This window comes from Homo sapiens, chromosome 7 (assembly GCF_000001405.40).
Source record: "Homo sapiens chromosome 7, GRCh38.p14 Primary Assembly".
Taxonomy (NCBI): Eukaryota; Metazoa; Chordata; class Mammalia; order Primates; family Hominidae; genus Homo; species Homo sapiens.
Genome location: NC_000007.14, coordinates 115,579,841 through 115,598,240, shown reverse-complemented (window position 1 = coordinate 115,598,240; position 18,400 = coordinate 115,579,841). Strand labels below are relative to the sequence as shown.

Below are 18,400 nucleotides of genomic sequence, written 5' to 3'. Positions count from 1 at the left end.
TATGAACTTTGAAGTAGTTTTTGCCAATTTTGTGAAGCAAGTCATTGGTAGCTCGATGGGGATGGCATTGAATCTATAAATTATGTTGGGCAGTATGGCCATTTTCACGATACTGATTCTTCCTACCATGAGTGTGGAATGTTCTTCCATTTGTTTGTGTCCTCTTTTATTTCTTTGAGCAGTGGCTTGTAGTTCTCCTTGAAGAGGCCCTTCACATCTCTTGTAAGTTGGATTCCTAGGTATTTTATTCTCTCTGTAGCAGTTGTGAATGGGAGTTTGCTCATGATTTGGCTCTCTGTTTGTCTGTTATTGGCGTATAGGAATGCTTGTGATTTTTGCATATTGATTTTGTATCTTGAGACTTTGCTGAAGTTGCTTATCAGCTTAAGGAGATTTTGGGCTGAGACGATGGGGTTTTCTAAATATACAATCATGTCATCTGCAAACAGAGACAATTTGACTTCCTCTTTTCCTAATTGACCTGTTTCTTTCACTTGCCTGATTGCCCTGGACAGAACTTCCAACACTATCTTGAATAGGAGTGCTGAGAGAGGGCATCCTCGTCCTGTGCCAGTTTTCAAAGGGAGTGCTTCCAGTTTTTGCCTATTCATTATGATATTGGCTGTGGGTTTGTTATAAATAACTCTTATTATTTTGAGATACGTTCCATTAATACTTAGTTTATTGAGAGTTTTTAACATGAAGGACTGTTAAATTTTGTCGAAGGCATTTTCTACATCTATTGAGATAATTAAGTAGTTTTTCTTGTTGGTTCTGTTTATCTGATGGATTGTGTTTACTGATTTGCCTATGTTGAACCAGCCTTGCATTCCAGGAATGAAGCTGACTTGATTGTGGTTGATAAGCTTTTGGATGTGCTGCTGGATTTGGTTTGCCAGTATTTTATAGAGGATATTTGCATCAATGTTCATCAGGGATATTGGTCTAAAATTCTCTTTTTTTGTTGTGTCTCTGCCAGGCTTTGGTATCAGGATGATGCTAGCCTCATAAAATGAGTTAGGGAGGATTACCTCTTTTTCTATTGATTGGAATAGTTTCAGAAGGAATGGTACCACCTCCTCTTTGTACCTCTGGAAGAATTTGATTGTGAATCTGTCTGGTCCTGGACTTTTTTAGTTGGTAGTCTATTAATTATTGCCTCAATTTCAGAGCCTGTTATTGTTCTATTCAGAGATTCAACTTCTTCCTGGTTTAGTCTTGGGAGGGTGTATGTGTCCAGGAATTTATCCATTTCTTCTAGGGTTTCTAGTTTATTTGCATAGAGGTGTTTATAGTATTCTCTGATGGTAGTTTGTATTTCTGTGGGATCAGTGGTGATATCCCCTTTATCATTTTTTATTGTGTCTATTTTATTCTTCTCTCTTTTCTTCTTTATTAATCTTGCTAGCAGTCTATCAATTTTGTTGATCTTTTCAAAAAAACAGCTCCTGGATTCACTGATTTTTTGAAGGGTTTTTTATGTCTCTGTTTCCTTCAGTTCTGCTCTGATTTTAGTTATTTCTTGCCTTCTGCTAGCTTTTGAATTCATTTGCTCTTGCTTCTCTAGTTCTTTTAACTGTGATGTTAGGGTGTCAATTTTAGATCTTTCCTGTTTTCTCCTGTGGGCATTTAGTGCTATAAATTTTCCTCTACACACTGCTTTAAATGTGTCCCAGAGATTCTGGTACATTGTGTCTTTGTTCTCATTGGTTTCGAAGAACATCTTTATTTCTGCCTTCATTTCGTTACTTACCCAGTAGTCATTCTGGAGCAGGTTGTTCAGTTTCCATGTAGTTGTGTGGTTTTGGGTGAGTTTCTTAATCCTGAGTTCTAATTTGATGGCACTGTGGTCTGAGAGACAGTTTGTTGTGATTTCTGTTTTTTTACATTTGCTGAGGAGTGCTTTACTTCCAATTACGTGGTCAATTTTAGAATAAGTGAGATGTGGTGCTGAGAAGAATGTATATTCTTTTGATTTGGGGTGGAGAATTCTGTAGATATCTATTCATTCCACTTGGTGCAGAGCTGAGTTCAAGTCCTAGATATCCTTGTTAACCTTCTGTCTCATTGAACTAATATTGACAGTGGGGTGTTAAAGTCTCCCATTATTATTGTGTGGGAATCTAAGTCTCTTTTTAGGTCTCTAAGGACTTGCTTTATGAATCTGGGCGCTCCTGTATTGGGTGCATATATATTTAGGATAGTTAGCTCTTCTTGTTGAATTGATGTCTTTACCATTATGTAATGGCCTTGTCTTTTTTGATCTTTGTTGGTTTAAAGTCTGTTTTATCAGAGACTAAGATTGCAACCCTTGCTTTTTTTTTTTTTGCTTTCCATTTGCTTGGTAGATCTCCCTCCATCCCTTTATTTTGAGCCTATGTGTGTCTTTGCACATGAGATGGGTCTCCTGAATACAGCACACTGATGGGTCTTGACTCTTTATCCAATTTGCCAGTCTGTGTCTTTTAATTGGGGCATTTAGCCCATTTACATTTAAGGTTAATATTGTTATGTGTGAATTTGATCCTGTCATTATTATGTTATCTGGTTATTTTGCCCATTAATTGATGCAGTTTCTTCATAGCATCAATGGCCTTTACAATTTGGCATGTTTTTGCAGTGGCTGGTACTGGTTGTTCCTTTCCAAGTTTAGTGCCTCCTTCAGGAGCTCTTGTAAGGCAGGCCTCTTGGTGACAAAATATCCCCACATTTTCTTGTCTGTAAAGGGTTTTATTTCTCCTTCACTTTTGATGCTTAGTTTGGCTGGATATGAAATTCTAGATTCAAAATTCTTTTCTTTAAGAATGTTGAATATTGGCCCCCACTCTCTTCTGGCTTGTAGGGTTTCTGCTGAGAGATCCGCTGTTAGTCTGATGGGCTTACCCTTGTAGGTAACCCAATCTCTCTCTGGCTGCCCTCAAAATTTTTTCCTTCATTTCAACCTTGGTGAATCTGATGATTATGTGTCTTGGGGTTGCTCTTCTCAACGAGCATCTTTGTGGTGTTCTCTGTATTTCCTGAATTTGAATGTTGGCCTGCCATGCTAGGTTAGGGAAGTTCTTGTGGATAATATCCCGAAGAGTCTTTTCCAACTTGATTCCATTCTCCCCAACACTTTCAGGTATATCAATCAAATGTAGATTTTTGTCTTTTCACATAGTCTCATACTTCTTGGAGTCTTTGTTCATTTCTTTTTACTCTTTTTTCTCTAATCATATCTTCTGGCATTATTTCATTAATTTGGTCTTCAATCACTGATATCCTTTCTTCCACTTGATTGAATTTGCTATTGAATCTTGTGCATGTGTCACGAAGTTCTGTGCTACGTTTTTCAGATCCATCAGGTTATTTAAGGTCATCTTTACACTGTTTATTCTAGTTAGCTATTATTTGTCTAACCTTTTTTCAACGTTTTTAGCTTCCTTACAATAGGTTAGAACATGCTCCTTTAGCTCAGAGAAGTTTGTTATTACCGACCTTCTGAAGCCTACTTCTGTGAACTCATCAAAGTCATTCTCCATCCAGCTTTGTTCCATAGCTGGCAAGGAGCTGTGATCCTTTGGAGGAGAAGAGGCACTCCAATTTTTAGAATTTTCAGCTTTTCTGCTCTGGTTTCTCCCCATCTTTGTGGTTTTATCTACTTTGGTCTTTGACATTGGTGACCTAGAGATGGGGTTTTGGTGTGGATGTTCTTTTTTTGATGTTGATGCGATTCCTTTCTGTTTGTTAGTTTTCCTTCATACAGTCAGTTCCCTCAGCTGCTAGTCTGTTGGAGTTTGCTGGAGGTCCACTCCAGTCCCTGTTTGCCTGGGTATCACCAGTGGAGGCTGCAGAACAGCAAATATTGCTGAATAGCAAATATTGCTGTTCAGCTATGCCTTACCCCCAGAGGTGGAGTCTATAGAGGCAGTAGGCCTTACTGAGCTGTGGTGGGCTCTGCCCAGTTTGAGCTTCCTGGCTGCTTTCTTTACCTTCTTAAGCCTTAGCAATGGTGGATGCCCTTCCCCCCACCAGGCTGCAGCCTCACAGGTCGATCTTAGACTGCTGTGCTAGCAGTGAGCAAGGCTCCATGGGCGTTGGACCTGCCACCTAGGCATGGGAGAGAATCTCCCGGTCTGCCAGTTGCTAAGACTGTGGGAAAAGTGCAGCATTTGGGTGGACATGTCCCATTTTTCCAGGTACAGCCTGTCATGACTTCCCTTGGCTAGGAAATGGAAATCCCCTGACCCCTTGAACTTCCCAGGTGAGGCGACACCCCACCCTGCTTTGTCTAGCCCTCTGTGGGCTGCACCCACTGTCCAACCAGTCCCAATGAGATAAGCCAGGTACCTCAGTTGAAAATGCAGAAATCACCCATCTTCTGTGTTGATCATGCTGGGAACTGCAGGCCGGAGCTGTTCCTATTAGGCCATCTTGGAAGGGACCGAAAGTAATCTTATTAGGCTATCTAAATCTAGATATTCACCTTTTATGGAAAGAGTTATTCAAGTGGAGGATAAACATTGTTTCTTGACATAGACAAAGTTATATGGCTGGTTAGGATTTGTGTGCTTCCATCATAAGCACACTTTATGTCTACGTTGACTTTAGAACCTAACCACTGTGAAAGGTGCTTTTTCTTGAAACCAATATCCAAATGACATGACAGTGAAATGTTTTGCTTGAGGGCACTGCAGATAACACCAACTTTGAAAGACAAGAACAATAGCCAGATTTCCCTTACTTTCCATTCTTTTACTCTCAGAATTTTAGTGAGAGGAAGGTGAGGACAGAGTGAGACGTATATCCAAAGCTCCAAACACACCACTCAGAAAGTACTCTTAGAAAAATCTGCAACTCAGAAGTGAAGACTCAAACACAAAACATTGCCTGAGCAACCATTCTCGTCATGATCATGATACAACTGTTTTTTCTCTTTGCATTACACAATCCTACCCAACATTTAAGACCCAAATAAATGTTTGCTTTTCTGTGTTATCTTTCCCAACTCCCACAGACATATTTATCTGTTCCCTCTTTTGTGTTTTCAGAGTCTTTGTGGTGGATATATTATAGCAAACTGCATTGTGATTTATATCTTCTTTTTCTTCATTTGATTATTATCTCCTCCAGGAAAATAGCTACTATTACTAACATTAAGCATTGTGCCAGGTATGAACTAGGCACTCAATAAATGTTCACTGAATGAATAAATGAGTACATTTCCTATTTTTCTTACCATCTCCAAGATAGAATAACTCAAAGTATGTTATGGGCTGAATGTCTGTGCTTCCCCTCTACCTCAAATTTCTGTGTTGAAACCCCTAACTCCAAGTGCAGCTGTATTCAGAGGAAAAAAGTAAATTATTTCATAAGGGTGGGGCCCTAATCTGATAGGAGTATTATCCTTGTAAGAGACATCAGAGCTCTCTCTCTCTCTCTCTTTTTCTCCCTGTGTATGCATAACCCTAGGAAAGGTCTTATGGGTACTTAGTGAGGAGGTGGCTATCTGCCACACAAAGGAAGAACTTTCACTGGATACCAACCCTGCCATCACCTTGAATTTGGTTTTCCAGTCTCCAGAACTGTGAGAATATAAATTTCAGTTTTTATTACATAAACCATTCAGTCTGAGGGATTTGTTATGGCAGCCCAAGCAGACTAATATAAACTACTACATGTAACCTGGGTTGCTTTTATGGTACTTGCCAAACTCTTCTCTCTGATAAGCATCTTGGGGAATGGCTCCTTGTTTTACGTAGCACTAGAGTTGACGAATGATTAAGTTTATTGAATACATGAATGGATGAAGCTTCTTTATTAATTGAACTTATGTGACTATTGCATAAAAAATTAATGAAACATCTTTTGATACAACTATATTAACCACATTTAACAGAAATCTTAAGTACCTTTAAATTTATCAGTAATAGAAAAAAATGACACTAAAACCTGACAGCATAAAAGGGCAAAATATGTAAATAGATACATCACAATAATGTATCAATAAATACAAATGGTAATGAGGACAATGAACCATTCAAGGACAGTAGAATAAATAAGTGCAAAGTTTAATAAGATACTCTTGTTTAGTAAGTTAGCAATTTTGAAAAGGTTGTCAATACTCAATACATGCTAAGAGGTTATAATTCCTTTTGAGCTTTAGAAAATAATCTAGCAATATACATTAAGATGCTTAGCATTATTTACAACAGTTTGCCTATTATTTCCAATTCTAGATTCTATCCTAAGAAAATCATAAAAGCAGAACTTGTTTTGTGGTCAAATATTTGCATTCCACTGAATTCATATAACTGTAGAAAAGAGCATCATAAAACATTGTGCTTAAAATATGCATATATGTTGCTTATTTTCATTATAGAAATCAAACACATTTTGTATTGGATCCTATCCTCTTAAGTTAGTCATATTTTGAGGTACTCTTTCCCTGCTCTTGATTCATACATATTCTTAGAAGCCTATGCTGCCTAGAAAACTTCAGAAAGCTCTGTCATCCTCAATCACTATGGTCAAGCTCAGATGCCCACATCTAGAAGGAGAAGGTAACTAGTATTGATGTTCTATGAAAGTATATTGATATAACACTTTTACCCATGCCTTAATTTTATAACGTCACCCCTGAGAATTGCTTTGTAATGAGGCTTCTGATAATTTGTTCTTTATGAGTTAAAAATAACATAAGTTTAACACATGTATAATTGGATAGCAGAATGGCTAAACTCAATGGCGATGTAAACAAGAAATGCACGTAATAATCTACACTAAGTGCCTTGGACCATGCGGTTAAAGTCTCTGTCTGCACTAAAGGGTCACACTGTCAACAGACACCATGGCTTTCTGGTCATTGTAAGAACAGTCTTACCTTGGCAACTAAGCCTCAATGTGACCTTTAAATAGGTTTAGCCCAAATAAATGTAAACAATTCAATATTGCACCCAGCTTAAGTCTTCTCCCATTCTCTAGAATCAAGTCTGACTCATTGGCTGGACCACAAAGAAGGGAAGCATGGTCTGTTACCTCACTGTGTTCTTTGTTGTTGTTATTGTTTTCAATAAATGAAAAAATTGTATAATACAAATTAAGTTATCCAATAAAAATGGAAGAAAATTAGATATCAGTGATAGCAAGAAATTTGGGGAGACTAAAAAATATGTGGAAACAAGAGTGCAAACTTATTTCCCATAAGCTATTGGGGTACAGGTGGTATTTGGTTATATGAGTAAGTTCTTTAATGGTGATTTGTGAGATTTTGGTGCACCCATCACCTAAGCAGTATACACTGCACCACATTTTTAGTCTTTTATCCCTTGCTCCGTCCCACTCTTCCTCCCCCAAGTCCCCAAAGTCCCTTGTATCATTCTTATGCCTTTGCATCCTCATAGTTGAGCTCCCACATATCAGTGAGGACATACGATGTTTGGTTTTCCATTCCTGAGTTACTTCACTTGAAATAATAGTCTCCGATGTCATCCAGATCACTGCAAATGCTGTTAATTCATTCCTTTTTATGGCTGCATAGTATTCCATCATATATATATATATATATATATATATGTATATATTTATATATAATATATATGTATAATCACAGTTTATATATATATGTAAATAACCACAGTTTATATATATAAAATCACAGTTTCTTTACCCACTTGTTGATTGATGGGCATTTGGGTTGGTTCCATGATTTTGCTATTGTGAATTGTGCCACTATAAACATGCATGTGCAAGTATCTTTTTCAAATAATGACTTCTTTTCCTCTGGGTAGATAACCAGTAGTGGGATTGCTGGATCAAATTGTTCTTTAAGGAATCTCCAGACTGTTTTCCATAGCAGCTGTACTAGTTTACATTCCTACCAGCAGTGTAGAAGTGTTCTCTGTTCACTGCATCCATACCAATATCTACTGTTTTTTGATTTTTTGATTACGACCATTCTTGCAGGAATAAGGTGGTATCACATTGTGGTTTTGATTTGCATTTCCCTGATCATTAGTTATGTTGAGCATTTTTTCATATGTTTGTTGGCCATTTGTATATATTCTTTTGAGAATTGTCTATTCATGTCCTTAGACCACTTTTTGATTGGGTTGTTCATTTTTTCCTTACTGATTTGTTTGAGTTCGTTGTAGATTCTGGATATTAGTCCTTTGTCAGATCTATAGATTGTGAAGATTTTTTCCCACTCTGTGGGTTGTCTGTTTACTCTGATGACTGTTCCTTTTGCCGTGAAAAAGGTCTTTAGTTTAATTAGGTCCCAGCTATTTCTCTTTGTTTTTATTGCATTTGCTTTTGGGTTCTTGGTCATAAAATCCTTGCCTAAATCAATGTCTAGGAGGGTTTTTCCAATGTTACCTTCTAGAATTTTCATAGTTGCAGGTCTTAGGTTTAAGTCTTTAATCCATCTTGAGTTGATTTTTGTATAAGGTGAGAGATGAGGATCTAGTTTCATTCTCCTACATGTGGCTAGCCAATTATCCCAGAACCATTTGTTGAAAAGGGTGTCCTTTTCCCACTTTATGTTTTTGTTTGCTTTTTTGAAGATCAGTTGGCTGTAAGTATTTGAGTTTATTTCTGGGTTCTCTGTTCTGTTCTATTGGTCTATATGCCTATTTTTATACCAGTACCACGCTGTTTTGGTGACTATGGCCTTATAGCACAGTTTGAAATCAGGTAGTGTGATGCCTCCAGATTCGTTATTTTTACTTAGTCTTGCTTTGGCTATGCAGGCTCTTTTTTGGTTCCATATGAATTTTAGAATTGTTTTTTCTAACTCTTTGAAGAATGATGGTGGTATGTTGATGGGGATTGTGTTGAATTTTTAGATTGGTTTTGGCAGTATGGTAGTATGGTCATTTTCACAATATTGATTCTACTCATCCATGAGCATGGGATGTGTTTCCATTTGTTTGTGTCGATCATGATTTCTTTCAGCAGTGTTTTATAGTTTTCCTTGTAGAGGTCTTTTGACTCCTTGGTTAGGTATATTCCTAAGTATTTTATTTTTTTGCAGCTATTGTAAAAGGGGTTGAGTTCTTGATTTGATTCTCTGCTTGATTGCTATTTGTGTATAGAAGAGCTACTGATTTGTGTACATTAATCTTGTATCGGAAACTTTGCTGAATTCTTTTATCAGTTCTAGGAGCTTTCTGGAGGAGTCCTGAGGGTTTTCAGGATAAGCAATCATATCATCAGCAAACAGTGACAGTTTGACTTCCTCTTTACCAATTTGGTTGCCCTTTATTTCTTTCTCTTGTCTGATTGCTCCGGCTAGGACTTCCATTACTATGCTGAAGAGGAGTGGTCAGAGTGGGCATCCTTGTGTTTTTCCAGTTATCATAGGGAATGCTTTCAACTTTTCCACATTCGGTATTATGTCGGCTGAGGGTTTGTCATAGATGGCTTTTATTAAATTAAGGTATGTCCCTTGTGCCAATTTTACAGAGAGTTTTAATCATAAAGGGATACTGGATTTTGTCAAATGCTTTTTCTGCATCTACTGAGATGATCATGTGATTTTTGTTTTTAATGCTGTTTATGTGGTGTATCACATTTATTTACTTGCATGTGTTAAACCATCTCTGCATCCCTAGTATGAAACACACTTGATCATGGTGGATTATCTTTTTCATATGTTGTTGGATTTGGTTAGCTAGTGTTTTGTTAAGAATTTTAGTATCAATATTCATCAAGGATATTGGTCTGTAGTTTTCTTTACAGTTATGTCCTTGCCTGGTTTTGGTATTAGGGTGATGCTAGGTTCATTAAATGAATTAGGGAGAGTTCCTTCTTTCTCTCTTGTGAAATAACGTCAAGAGCATTGGTACTAATTCTTCTTTGAATGTCTGGTAGCATTCTTCTGTGAATCGTCTGATCTTGGACTTTTTTGTTGGTAATTTTTTAATTACCATTTCAATCTTGCTGCCTGTTATTAGTCTGTTCAGGGTATCTAATTCTTATTGATTTAAGTTAGAAGGGTTGTATTTTTCCAGGAATTCATCCATCTCTTTTAGGTTTTCTATTTTATGTGCATAAAGGTGTTCATAGTAGTCTTGAATGATCTTTTGTATTTCAGCGCTGTCAGTTGTAATATCTTCTGTTTTGTTTTTTAGTGAGGTCACTTGAATTTTGCATTTTGCATTTTTTCTCTTCTTTTCTTGGTTAATCTTGCTAAGATCTACCAATTTTATTTATCTTTTCAAAAAAACAGTTTTTTGTTTTATTTATCTTTTTTTTGTTTGGTTTAAATTTCATTTAATTCTGCTCTGATCTTGGTTATTTCTTTTCTTCTGCTGGGTTTGGGTTTGTTTTGTTCTTGTTTTTCTAGTTCCTTGAGGTGTGACCTTAGAATGTCAGCTTGTGTTCTTTCAGTTTTTTGGATGTAGATGCTTAAGGCTATGAACTTTCCTCTTAGCATTGCCTTTGCTATAACCCAGAGGTTTTGATAGGTTGTGTCATTATTGACATTCAGTTTGAAGAATGTTTTAATTTCCATCTTGATTTTGTTTTTGACCCAATGCTCATTCAGGAGCACTGTGGTCTGAGAGAGTGCTTGATATAATATCAATTTTCTTAAATGTATTGAGGCTCATTTTATGGCCTATTATATGGTCTATCTTGGAGAAAGTTCCATACACTGTTGAATAGAAAGTGTATTCTGCAGTTGTTGGATGAAATTTTCTGTATATATCTGTTAAGTCCATTTGTTCCAAGGTGTAGTTTAAATCCATTGTTCCTTTGTTGACTTTCTGTCTTGAGGACCTGTCTAGTGCTGTCAGTGGAGTATTGAAGTCCCCCACTATTATTGTGTTGCTGTCTATCTCATTTCTTAGGTCTATTAGTAATTGTTTTTATAAATTTGGGTACTCCATTGTTAGGCATGTATATGTTTAGGATTGTGATAGTTTCCTGTTGGACAAGGCCTTTTACCATTATATAATGTCCCTCTTTGTCTCTTTTAACTGCTGTTGCTTTAAAATTTGTTTTGTCTGATATAAGAATAGCTACCCCTGCTCACTTTTGGTGTCCATTTGCATGAAATGCCTCTTTCCACCCCTTTACTTTAAGTTTATGTGAGTCCTTATGTGTTAGGTAGGTCTCCTGAAGGCAGTAGATATTTGGTTGGTGAGTTCTTATCCATTCTGCGGTTCTGAATCTTTTAAGTGGAGCATTTAGGCCATTCACATTTAATGTTAATATTGAAATGTGAGGTTGCATTCATTTTGCTTTTTGTTGTCTGTGTACTTTTGTTTTTTGTTTTGTTTTGTTTTTGCTTTTTAATATGTATTTTTGTTTTATAGGTGTGGGATTGATGCTTTAAAGAGGTTCTGTTTTGATGTGTTTCCAGGACTCGTTTAAAGATTTAGAGCTCCTTTTAGCAGTTCTTGTACTGGTGGCTTGGTAATGGCAAATTCTCTCAGCATCTTTCTGAAAATGACTGTATCTTTCCTTCATATATGATGCTTAGTTTCACTGGATACAAAATTCTTGGCTGATAATGGTTTTGTTTGAGGAGGCAGAAGATAAGGCCCCAATCCCTTCTAGCTTGTAGGGTTTCTGTTAAGAAATCTGTTATTAATCTGATAGGTTTTCCTTTATACATTGCCTGGTGCTTCTGTCTCACAGTTCTTCAGATTCTTTCCTTTGTCTTAATTTTGGGTAACCTGATGACAATACACCCAGGCAAAGATCTTTGTGCAATGAATTTTCCAGGTGTTCTTTGTGCTTCTTGTATTTGGATGTATAGGTGTCTAGCAAGGCCAGGGAAGTTTTTCTTGATTATTCCCCTGAATGTTTTCCAAGCTTTTAGAGTTCCCTTCTTCCTCAGGAACATGGATTATTCTTAAGTTTGGTCATTTAACATAATCCCAGACTTCTTGGAGACTTTGTTCATATCTTCTTATTCTTTTTTCTTTGTATTTGTTAGTTTGAGTTAATTAGAAGACCTTGTCTTCAAGCTCTGAATTTCTTTCTACTTGTTCAGTTCTATTGCTGAGGCTTTCTAAAAGTGTGTCCAAAGTCTCCTGAATTTTTGATTTTTTAAAGCTATCTGTTTCCTTGAATATTTCTCCCTTCACTTCTTGTATCATTTTTTGGATTTCCTTACAATGGCCTTCACCTTTCTCTGGTCCCTTCCTGATTAACTTAATAACTAACCTCCCTAATTCTTTTTTAGTTATATCACAGATTTCTTCTTGGCTTGGATCCATTGCTGGGGAACTAGTGTAATTTTTTGAGGGTGTCAAAGAGCCTTGTTTTGTCATATTACCAGGGTTGGTTTTCTGGTTTCTTCTTATTTGGGTAGGCTCCATCAGAGGGAAGGTTTAGAGCTGAAGGCTGTTGTTCAGATTCTTTTGTCCCATGGGGTGTTCCGTTTATGTAGTGCTCTTCCCCTTTTCCTTTGGATGTGGCTTCCTGTGAGCCGAACTGCAGTGATTGTTGTCTCTCTTCTGAGTCTAGCCACCCAGCCAGTCTGCCCAGCTCTGGGTTGGTACTGGGGGTTGTCTGCACAGAATCCTGTGATGTGAACCTTCTACGGGTCTCTCAGCTGTGGATACCAGCGCCTGTTCCAGTGAAGATGGTTGAGGGGAATGCAATGGACTCCATGGGGGTCCTCAGCTTTGGTGCTTTAATGGTCTATTTTAGTGCTGGTTGGCCTCCTGCCAGGAGGTGATGCTTTCCAGAAAGCATCAGCTCTAGTAGTGTGGAGAGGGACTGGTGGTGGGTTGGGCCCTAGAACTCCCAAGATTATATGCGTTTTGTCTTCAGCTACCAGGATGGGTAGGGAAGAACCATCAGGTGGGGGCAGGCCTAGGCATGTCTGAGCTCAGACTCTCCTTGGGCAGGTCTTGCTGCAGCTGCTGTGGGGGATGGGGGTGAGATTCCCAGGTCACTGGAGTTGTGTACCTAGGAGGATTGTGGCTGCCTCTGCTGAGTCATGCAGTTGTCAGGGAAGTGGGGGAAAGCCAGCAGTCACAGGCCTCACACAGCTCCCACGCAAACTGAAGGGCCAGTCTCACCCCCATCATGCACACCCCAACAACCCCCAGTCTGTTTCCAGGTGGAAGGCATGTCGGGCTTGAAAATTTGCCCTGGGCTACCTGCCTCCCAGCTGTGAAAGAAAAGGGCTTGGTTCTTCCCCCATCTGTGGAGTCCACACACTGGATTTTCACCCTCCCTGGAGTTCTGGCCAGGAGGCTTCTCACCCTCTTCAAATTGTTACAAAGTTCAGCTAGAGATTTCCTTCTCCCTGTGGAGTTTTACCCCCTGCTCCTCTGGTCACCCTCCGAATGGATCCCTGGGATGCCAGGCAGGAATGGCCTACTCGGGGCACAGTGAGCTCCCAGGGCCTTTCTGCTACTTCCTCTACCCTATATTTCGCTTGGCTCTCTAAATTGACTCAGCTCCAGGTAAAGTCAGAAACTTCTCCCACAAACAAGACTTTCAACTTCTCCAATGGAGGTGTGTGTTTGGGGGAGCAGGGTCTTCCTTTCCCACTTCTACAGTTGGGGCACTCACAGTATTTGGGGTGTCTCCTGGGTCCTACAGGAGTAGTACACTTCCTTCAGAGGGTCTGTGGGTCCTCTCGGGATTGCTGGTTTGTTCCTGCAGTCAGTCTGGAGCTACAATTCACAATGCGAACTTTCGCAAGCTGCTCTGTTTGGAGCTTCAATCTAGTCCTGCCTCCCATCCACCTGATGAGTTCAACAGCAGAACGTGTGGGATCGAAAGACACCGGAGAACTGCCAGGCCTGTGGGCCTTAAGCCCCGTCCATAGAAAGGAACTGTACTGCCTACCTCACTGTGTTCTATATCTCCACCTAGTCATCCTCAATTTATCATCTTCTGAGTCTTCCAAGGTCAAGGCAGAAGGGGTCATGTGCGGAATTGTGTAAAAAGGAAAAAACAGGTTTAATTGATGCTCATTTTGTTCTCTTTTAGTCCTCAATACCCTGTGAGGGGCTCACATGCTAAATGCTGAATTGTCCATGGAGCACAGATGGGCTCTTTTGGGTCCCCATTGAACAACTGTATTGCATCACTCTCTAGTTAGCAACTCAGCTCTTGCCCACATCAGTTCATCTCACCACTCATTACTGCCAGTGTTCCCCTGCCACGGCAGAAAGCCCTTTTAATCCAAGAAAGCCACATGGAGATGCTTGAGCTTGCCACTTTTTGTTGTGTAGCAGAACAAGTTGCAGACAAAACTCCTCAGACACCGAGTTAAAGAAGGAAGGGTTTTATTCGGCTGAGGGTATCGGCAAGACTCCTGTCTCAAGAGCCGAGCGTGTGAGAAGGTCATGATTGAGAAAGCGGGGGGTATGTGACTCGGGGCTGCATGCACCGGTAATTAGATCGGAACAAAACAGGATAGGGATTTTCACAGTCCATTTCTATACAATGTCTGTAATCTATAGATAACATAACCGATTAGGTCAGGGGTCGATCTTTAACTACCAGGCCCAGGGTGCAGCGCCAGGCTGTCTGCCTGTGGATTTCGTTTCTGCCTTTTAGTTTTCACTTTTTCTTTCTTTGGAGGCAGAAATTAGGCATAAGACAATGTGAGGGGTGGTCTCCTCCCTTAGTAGTATCCACTTCCCACATAGGAAACTAGTGTATCTTTTCTGAAAGTGGGCTGACTCTTGCTGCCCTCTCTGTGGTCAAACTTCTGCCTTGAAAAAAATTGCAAGACAGTAACTCTAAAATTCCAAAGGATACAGGCTGAAGCTCCTAAGACTTTTCTTACCATACTCCACTCAGGTGGCAGCATATGTGAGCCTGTGCACAAATGCAGCTCAGCAAGCATCCAGCCAGGGTTAACAATGCCAGTTCTTATGCCATCCTTAATCTCTAAAAGTAGTTCTTTTTGGAGTATAATAATCACTTAAAGGAATGGCATCCTTTGCCTTTCTTTCAGATACGGGATGGGGTGGAAAATAAACTAGAATGGCTCACTTTCTGCCAACTTTCCCCTTCAACAAAATTAGGATGTTAGCTTTTGTACACTGGATAGAATGTTGAGTATGACAGCAGAAAGACCAATTTGGCTACCTCTTAGCAAACTCAAGAGAAGGGAATCTGACAGCTTTTTGGCTGTTTTGATTAGAATGTGGAAATACTTACTACTTGTTGTCCACAGCATGGGGCTTTAGCCAAAATTTTAAAATGCAGGAAAGGTCCCATTCAACATATTATGACACATGGTCTTTAAAAGTTTCAGAGAAGCACAAAGAAGAAAATTAAAATCACCTGCAATTTCTCCATTGCTAGTTTTTGTGTCAGTGTCCATTATCTTTTCTAGCTACACATAAATAAATCTACGTAAATATATGTGTTCAGAGTCATGTTTTATAAATCCGTTTAATCTGATTTTTCTACTTGAATTTATTAAAATAAAATTTATCATTCTCATAAAGCATAATTTTCAGTGATGCATAGGTTTGCATTATTTTACAAAAGTTGCAAAAACAAAGACACATTGCTTTTGGTGCTTATAATCCTTTGATGAACAATTTTGCTATTTAATTCACTTATCAAATATATTTTGAGTGCCACTGTGTGCCAGGAACATTAGGAACAAGACAAATATGGTATGACTTTGTTAGAACAAAGGGGCAAGAGGAAACTTTGGGGTTATGAATGTGTTCACTATCTTTATTGTTATGATGGTTTCATGGCTGTATCCATATATGTGAAAACTTAAGAAATTTTATACTTTTAATATGGCAATTTATTGTACCTCATTTATACTTTTATAATGCTGCTTAAAAAGGAAAAAAATATCTACTGAGAGAAGACAATGTTTATTAAGTATATTTAAATACAATATGCATTTTGAAGTCAAAGTGTAGTTTAATTTGGAAGCACATAGCAGGAAACTCTAACCTGGTTTTGGAGAGGATATCAGAGAATGCATCCCTGACGTTTTAGAGGAGAACGAAGCATGAATAAGACCTAGTTAGGTAATAAGATGGGCAAAACAAGGGGATGGTGGGGAAGGAATTCTACACAAAAGAGACTTTCAGAGTTCCATGATCCTGAATTGTGAAAAAAGAAAATGAAAAGTACAATGATCTAAAAGAAGGGGACCATGAAGGTGATTTAAGAGAAATGCATAGAATAGTGAGAAATGAAAGTAAAGAATGAGGCAGGGACCAAAGTCTAAAGGAAAGATTTCCTGAATCACATTATTTCTGAAGAGCAAAGAGTGTTAAGCAAGTCCGTGGTAATATAGGATTTGTGTGTGTGACTGTGTGTGTGTTTAAATATCACTGTGCCTATTATGTGGGGGAATGGCTCTGTATGTGGGGGGGGGTTGAAAATAACTGAATTAGTGTTGCTACATTGTGCACTGTTGGGGGTGGGTATGTCATAAGACCACTGCATTCATTTAGTCATATCTGAGATTGTGATTTGAACTAGATTAGTTTCATTGATATTGGCAATAATAGGCATTTAGGTGGCAGACTTGATCAGACTTGGTAGTTGACTGTATATGGTAGGGGAGGAAAGGGGACATATATAATAAATCCCAAGTTTTTGATTAGAAAACCTGGTGGTACCTTTTGTTGAGATTATTAATACTGGAAATAAAACAAGCTTGAAGGAAAGGAATGTGTTCAGTTGTAGATACATTAAATTTGGGATGTCTGTGTGATAATTGAGTAGGGAACTAAAGTAAGCAGGTGTATATACTTGTAGCCAAGCAGATGGGCTTGAGATATGGCTTTCAAGAGATTTCAGAGTAGATATGATTGCTTAGAGAGTGAAAAATGGTGTGGTTTTAGATGGAGTCTTTAGGCCATTTTAAAGAGGGCTCATGGGACTATGAAACCAAGAGCTCTTAATGCTGTGACCAAAGATTGAAGTTCTCTATAGGTTGCCAAAGCACTCAGTGGTGCTGTGTTTTCCTGAGGAGATATAAGACTTGGAAAAAGAAAAAAAAAATAGACTGAGTCTCAAGAAACTCTAACATGTACTATTTTGGTAGAAAGGGAGGAGTAAGCAAAGAAGTCTGAGAAGAATCAGCCAAAGATCTAATAAAAAGCCTAGTGTATTTAAAGAGCTAAGAGGTTGCTAGTGAAAACTAAGGGAAGACTAGGAGTTGTCCTCCATTTGACTTACTGTATGGGGCTGTATTATCTTCCTATTGCTGCTGTAATAAATTAGCACATATTTGGCAGCTTAAAACAACACAAATTTATTCACTTACAGTTCTGGAGACCAGAAGTCTGGAATCAGCTTTACTGGATTGAAGTAAAGGTGTTGGCAGGGCAGACTCCTTCTGAAGTATCTAGGGGAGAATCTGTTTCTTTGCCTTTACTAGCTTTAAAAATATATATATTTTTATTTTAATAGCTTTTGGGGTATAAGTGGTTTTGAAATACATGGATGAATTCCATAGTGGTAAATTCTGAGATTTTAGCACACCTGTCGTTTCTTCATTTATTCGCCTTTTCTAGCTTCGAAAGATTGGCTGCAATTTTTGGCTCCTGACTTTCCTCAAATCACTACCACCTCTTTTTTTTTTTTTTTTTTTTTCCTGAGACAGGGTCTCACTCTGCTGCCCAGGCTGAAATGAAGTGGCATGATCATGGCTCACTGAAGCTTCAACCTCCTGGGCTCAAGCAGTCCTTCTATCTCAGCCTCCCAACTAGCTGGGAAAACTGGTGTGCTCCGCCCTGCCTGGCTAATTTTTTCTTTCTTTTTTTTTTTTTTTTTCAGAGATGAGGTCTGATTATGTTGCCCAAGCTTGGCTTGAAATCCTGGGCTCAAGCGATACTCCCCGCTTGGCCTCCCAAAGTGCTGGGGTTACTGTAAGCCACAGCACCCGGCCCCAACCTCTTTCTTATGTCATATCTCCTGCTACTCTCCTGTAGCAGCTTTTCCCTCTGCCTATTTTAAGGCCACATGTGATTACATCGTTTGACCCACCTGCATAATCCAGACTATCCTCCCCATCTTAAGATCATTAAATTTAATCATATTTGCAAAGTCCCTCTTGCCATTTAAGGTAACATATTAACAGAATCTCAGAATTAGAACATGGGCATTTGGAGAGGGGGTATTATTCAACCTACCACAGAGGTCATTGTAGAAATATTACAAAATTAATGTATTTCAAGTTAAAGAGGGCATGGTAGTAAAAGGTGAGAACAATGGAGAAAGAATGTGTAACCAATTTTGTAAAATTTTGACATAATTTTGGAGGGGAGAGAAAAATTAGAAGATAGGAGATAAATGTGTTGGAGGAGGGCTTTTGATTATAGTGGGAAACACTGAATGTGTTTAAATGCTGACGGGAAAAAAATCTAAAGAGTATCAGAGGGTGCAGATAGAGGAAGAGAAGAGTTAATAGGTGTTCAAGTTTTCTGATAAAAGCTGAGGGGCTGCAGTGAGG

General features: G+C 38.7%; 1 non-coding gene across 1 annotated transcript, besides 3 other annotated features; it reads left to right on the top strand.

The window, feature by feature from the left end:
* Positions 12,209 to 12,842: an enhancer, noted in NCBI's record as "H3K27ac-H3K4me1 hESC enhancer chr7:115225453-115226086 (GRCh37/hg19 assembly coordinates)". NCBI's record gives its function as "activates a minimal SCP1, AML or CMV promoter by ChIP-STARR-seq in naive H9 embryonic stem cells {active_cell/tissue: H9 hESC(naive)}" and the evidence as "EXISTENCE:reporter gene assay evidence [ECO:0000049][PMID:30033119]".
* Positions 12,209 to 13,453: a biological region, named in NCBI's record as "P300/CBP strongly-dependent group 1 enhancer GRCh37_chr7:115224842-115226041".
* Positions 12,254 to 13,453: an enhancer, noted in NCBI's record as "P300/CBP strongly-dependent group 1 enhancer chr7:115224842-115226041 (GRCh37/hg19 assembly coordinates)". NCBI's record gives its function as "activates an origin of replication core promoter dependent on BRD2, BRD4, P300/CBP, MED14 and CDK7 cofactors, with strong dependence on P300/CBP, by STARR-seq in HCT116 cells {active_cell/tissue: HCT116}" and the evidence as "EXISTENCE:reporter gene assay evidence [ECO:0000049][PMID:35650434]".
* On the top strand, positions 16,800 to 16,926 carry SNORA25B (small nucleolar RNA, H/ACA box 25B). Its single transcript, NR_145801.1, has one exon. It is a non-coding gene; the product is annotated as a small nucleolar RNA, H/ACA box 25B (small nucleolar RNA).
* Positions 16,927 to 18,400: the final 1,474 nt, after the last annotated feature.